The 5,707-nt window shown below is 40.4% G+C and overlaps 1 annotated feature.

Moving 5' to 3' along the window:
- Nucleotides 2,072-2,572: an enhancer, noted in NCBI's record as "H3K4me1 hESC enhancer chr2:167485044-167485544 (GRCh37/hg19 assembly coordinates)". NCBI's record gives its function as "activates a minimal SCP1, AML or CMV promoter by ChIP-STARR-seq in naive H9 embryonic stem cells {active_cell/tissue: H9 hESC(naive)}" and the evidence as "EXISTENCE:reporter gene assay evidence [ECO:0000049][PMID:30033119]".

The following is a 5,707-nucleotide window of genomic DNA, read 5'->3' on the forward strand; positions in this document are numbered from 1 at the left end:
CTTTATTAGTCTAGCTAGCAGCCTATCAATCTTATTAATTTTTTGAAAAAAAAAACAAATTTTAGATTTGTTGATATTTTCTAGCATTTTTCATGGCTCGATCTCCTTCAGTTCAGCTCTGTTCTTGGTTATTTATTGTCATCTGCTACCTTTTGGCTTGCTTTGCTTCTGTTTCTCTAGTTCTTCTATTTGTGGTGTTAGGTTGCTAATTTGAGATCTTTCTAATTTTTTGATATGGGCATTTAGTGCTATAAATTTCCCTCTTAAAACTATCTTAGCCGTGCCCTGGAGATTCTTGTATGTTGTATCTTTGTTCTCATTATCTATCTAATACTATCAGTGTGGTGTTGAAGTCTCCTACTATTATTATGTGGGAATCTATATCTCTTCATAGATCATGAAGGACTTTCTTTATGAATCTGGGTGCTCCTGTGTTGGGTACATATATATTTAGGATAGTTAGGTCTTCTTGTTTAATTGAACTCTTTACCATTATGTAACAACTTTCTTTGTATTTTTTTATCTTTGTTGGTTTAAAGTCTGGTTTTTTTTTTTTTGAATTTTTTTTCTTTTAGGATGTTGAATATAGCCCCCAGTGTCTTCTGGCATATAGAGTTTCTGCTGAAAGTTCTGCTGTTAGCCTGATGGGTACGCCCTTTGTAGGTAACCTGCCCTTTCTCTCTAGCTGCCTTTAACACTTTTTCTTTTATTTTGACCTTGGAGAATATGAAGATTATGTGTCTTGAGGATGATCTTGCATAGTGTCTTGCAGGGGTTCTCTGTATTATCTGAATTTGAATGTTAGTCTTTCCAGTGAACTAGAAAACTCTTGAGAATGTTCTCATGAACGATATCCTCAGATACATTTTTCAAGTTGCTTGCTTTCTCCCCATCTCTTTCAAGGACACCAATAATTTGTAGATTTGGCCTTTTTACAGAATCCCATATTTCTTGGAGGTTTTGTTCATTTCTATTCATTCTTTTTTTTCTTTGTGTCTGACTGTATTATTTCAGAAATCCAGTCCTCAAGCTCTGAGATACTTTCCTCTGCATGGTCTATTCTGCTATTAATACTTGTGATTGCATTAGGAAATTTTTGTAGTGTATTTTTTAGCTCTATCAGGTCTGTTAGTTTTTTTATAGTAGCTATTTTGTTTGTCAGCTGCTGTATCATTTTATTGTGATTCATAGATTCTTTGGATTGGTTTTGGATGTACTCTTGAATCTCACTGATCTTTATTTCTATCCATATTCTGAATTCTATTTCTGTCATTTTAGCTATATCTGCCTGGTTAGCAACCCTTTCTGGAGAACTGATGTAGTCATTTGGAGGACAGAAGAAGTCTGGCCTTTTGAGTTTTTGTATTGTTTTTTTCTCTTCTGCATGTTTGGGTGTTCGTTTAACTGCAGTGTAAATCAGGTACAGTGAGTAGGCTTCTTTTGCGGATGTTTTCAGAGGCCTGAGGCTTTATGCAAAGTCTTTATTTGTAGCTGACTTCTTGTCATTGGTTTCACTGAGAACTGTGTTAGTGAAGTATTTTTGGTGTTGAAGTTGTGGGGTGTGATCCAGTAGGTGGCACTTAAGCATAATGGTCAGTAGATAGGCTCTTGCTCAGTTATATGGCTCTTCTGTATTTCCTCACAGTTGCACTTCTGCTCTCTCTTAAAGGTCTGAATGTGTGGGCTACTCCCCCACTTGAGTGCTGGCTGCAGATTACTACTTTAGTACTCCTGGGCTACACAGCGCAGTTGTGAGGTGATGTCAGGGTTTCTGTTCCCTCCCCAAATTGGAGGCAGCACAGGAAGGGGCTTTAGCAGTGGTTGTGCCCCAGAAAGATGCAGAGCTGCAATCAGTCAGTATGATTGGCCTGGGATGGTGGGCTGCACTGTGGGTCCCAGCTAGGTAGTGGGGAGCAGGTGCCTGGTAATGGGCAGTGGGGTGGGACCTGTGAGAGACAGGCCTTTTTTCCTTAGGGAAACTGCAGCTTGCTGGAAGGGTGGATAAGGAACTTAGAGTCTTGGTTCTTTGCCCAGTGGGAGGGAAGCAGGGGCAGTACCACTGCAGAGGCAGTGGCCAAGGGGCTTTCAGTTGCCCCTTGGAGCTCCACCTCCAAGAAACACAGTCACTGGTACTGAAAGTATTCAGCTAGAGGGCAGGGCAGCTGCACTGCTAGCCTGAGCTGGGAGGTCAGCTTGATAAGGGGGGTGGGGCTTGACGGCTCCAGGAAGAAAAACTGGTCTCTCCTCTTTATGGTGACTGTGGCATGCTGTATGCTTGGTGTAGCCCTCAGGCTCTTTATTTCTTCCCCAGACTGAGGGCAGCAGGGGCAAAACTGCTGCTGTGGCAGTGGCAGAGGGGCTACTGATTGCCTCTGGGAGCCTCTCCCCAGGGAAACTCAGAATCACTACCATTGGGTATGCTCAGCTGTGGGTGGGGTAGCTGTTCTGTGGTTCTGAACCAGGATTCCTGCTTGATAAAGAGTGGGGGATGGGCATTCCCAGGGTAGAGGGACTGTATTGGTCTCTGTATGGTGGTTGCTGTGTGCTGGAGGTGCTAGTGACTAGGTTCTTTGTTTCTTCCACAGCTTGAGGGCAGTTATGGCAGTACCACTGCAGCTGCAGTGGCAGGGGAGTTGTGGGTTGACTCTAGGATTTCCTCCTTAGAGAAATGTGGAGCTGCCTCTGATTGAAGTGATCAGTTGGTAGCAGAGTGGTTGTGCTGGAGTCCCAGGTTGGGTGGCCCTGCCCGTGAGATGTGAGGACAGGAAACTGTATGGAAGGCAATTTGGCCCCTTTTCCATCGGGTGACTGCACTGTGCTAAAGGTCTGTGCCAGTCCCTAGTCACCTCTCCAGAACCTGTAGGCAACAATAATGAATGCTATGAGTGATTATTGTGCTGAGGAAAAGATGTATATTCTGCAGCCATTGTATGAAATGTTCTGTGAACATCTATTAGGTCCATTTGGTCTATTGTGCAGATTAAGTCTGATGTTTCTGTGTTTATTTTCTGTCTGGCTGATCTGTTCAATGCTGAAAGTGGAGTGTTAAAGTCTCCAGCTATTATTATATTGAGGTCCATCTCTTTCTTTAGCTCTAATAATATCTGCTTTATACATCCGGGTGCTTCAGTGTTGGATGCATATATATTTACAATTATTATATCCTCTTGCTGAATTGACTTATCATTATATAATGACCTTCATCTCCTATAGGTTTTGTTTTGACATCTATTTTGTGTAATATAAGGTATAGCTAGTACTACTCTTTTCCTGCACCCATTTGCATAGAATATTTTTTCTATCCTTTTATTTTCAGTTAATGTGTGCCTCCATAGGTTGTATGTTTCTTGTAGACAACAAATTGTTGGGTCTTGTTTTTTTATCCATTCAGCCACTATTTCCCTACATTGGAGGGCTTAGTCCATTTACATTCAATGACATTATTAATAAATAGAGACTTACTCCTGCCATTTTGTTATTTGTTTTCTAGTTGTTTTGTGGTCTTCTTTTCCTTCTTTCTTTCTTGTCATTTTTAGTGAAGGTAATTTTCTGTGGTGTTATGGTTTAATTCCTTGCTTTTTATTTTTCGTTTATCTGTTATATGTGTTTAGATTTGAGGTTACCATAAGGCTTGCAAATAATATCTTATAATTCATTATTTTAAACTGATGACAACACTGATTACATAAACTAACAAACATGGAAAAATAAACTAATAAAAACTCTACACTTTAACTTCATTCCCCCACTTTTTAACTTTCGTTGTTTCTATGTATATCTTAATGTACTGTCTATGTCTTAAAAAGTTATTGTAGTTTTTATTCCTTATCAGTTCATCTTTTTGTCTTTCTACTTAAGATACAGGTAGCTCAAACACCATAAATACAGTTTAATAATGTTCTGTTTGTTTTTATACTTACTAATTCCTCATTAAAGTCCTTTTCTTCCTGATCAAATAACTCCTTTTAGCATTTGATAGGATAGGCCTGGTATTGATGAAATCCCTCAGCTTTTGGAAAGTCTTTATTTCTCCTTCAGATCTGAGGGATTCTCCTTCCCCTGCCAAACCCCCACTGGCTATACTATTCTAGGGTAAAAGTTTGTTCCTTCAGGACTTTAAGTATGTCATGCCACTCTCTCATAGCCTGTATCATTTCCACTGAAAAGTCTGCTGCAAGATGTAGTGGAGTTCCATTGTATGTTGTTTCTTTTCTTTTTTTACTTTTAGGATCCTTTCTTTATCCTTGCCTTTTGGGAGTTTGATTATTAAATGCCTTGAGATAGTATTCTTTGGGTTAAATCTCCTTTGTGTTTTATAACCTTCTTGTACTTGCCTATTGATATCTTTCTCTAGGTTTGGGAAATTCTCTGCTATTATCCCTTTGAGTAAACTTTCTACTCCTTTATCTTTTTTTTAATGCCAATAACTCTTAGATTTACCCTTTTGAGGCTATTTTCTAGATCTAGTAAGTGTGCTTCATTCTTTTTAACTCTTTTTCTTTTGTCTTCTCTGTGTATTTTTAAATAGACTGTTTTCAAGCTCACTAATTCTTTCTTCTGCTTAATCAATTCTGCTCTTAAGAGACTCTGATTCATTCTTCAATATGTCCATTATATTTTTCAGTTTGAGAATTTCTGCTTGTTTTTAATTATTTCAATTTCTTTGTAAAATTTATCTGGTAAGATTCTGAATTCCTTCTCTTTGTTATCATAAATTTCCTTGAGTTTCAGCTATTTTGAATTCTCCGTTTGGAAGGTCACATAGCTCTGTCTCTCCAGGATCAGTCACTGGTGCCTTATTTAGTTCATTTGGTAAGTTCATGTTTTCTTGGAGGTCTTGATGCTGAGGATGTCTGTTGGTGTCTGGGCATTGAAGATATAGGTGTTTATCGTAGTTTTTGCAGTCTGAGCTTGTTTGTACTTGTCCTTCTTGGAAAGGTTTTCCTGGTATTCAAAAGAACTTGGGTGTTCTGATGGAAGCTTCATATCACTGCAGCTTTATCTGCATTAGGGGGCACCCCAAGCCCACTAACAATGTGGTTCTTGTGGACTCATAAAAATACCTTTTTGGTGGTCTTGGATAAGATCTGCAAGAATTCTCTGGAGAACCAGGCAGAGATTCCTCTCTTTCCTTATTTTGTTCCAGTGAATATCTCTCTCTCTGTGTGTGCTGAGATGCCTGGAGCTGAGGGAGAGGTAACCTAAGCATCCCTGTGGCCACCATCACTGGAACTATGCCAGGCCAGACATGAAGCCATTGCAGTACTCTGTCTTACCCAAGGCCTGCTCTATCTATTACCTGGCTACTGCCTATGTTTGCTCTAGGACCTAGGGCAGTACAATTGCAGGTCACAAAGCCAGCCAGGCATATATCCTTCCCTTCAGGGCAACAAATTTCCCTAGGCCCCAGATGGATCCGCAGATATTATCTGGGAGCCAGAGTCTGGAGTCAGAAACCTTAGAAATCTACCTGGTACTCTATTCTACTGCAGCTGAGCTGGCACCCAAACCACAAGACAAAGTCCTTCCCATTCTTCCCTCCCCTTTCCCCAGGCAGAGGAGTCTGTCTCCATGTTTATCCCCACCACAGGCCCATAGGGAGTACTGCCAGCCTATCACTGATATTTACTTCAGGCCCAAGGGCTTTTTAGTCAGCTTGTCATGAATGCTGCCAAGCCTGGGACTCACCCTTCAGAGCAGTGGGCTC

Source organism: Homo sapiens, chromosome 2, assembly GCF_000001405.40.
Source record: "Homo sapiens chromosome 2, GRCh38.p14 Primary Assembly".
In the NCBI taxonomy this organism is placed as follows: Eukaryota; Metazoa; Chordata; class Mammalia; order Primates; family Hominidae; genus Homo; species Homo sapiens.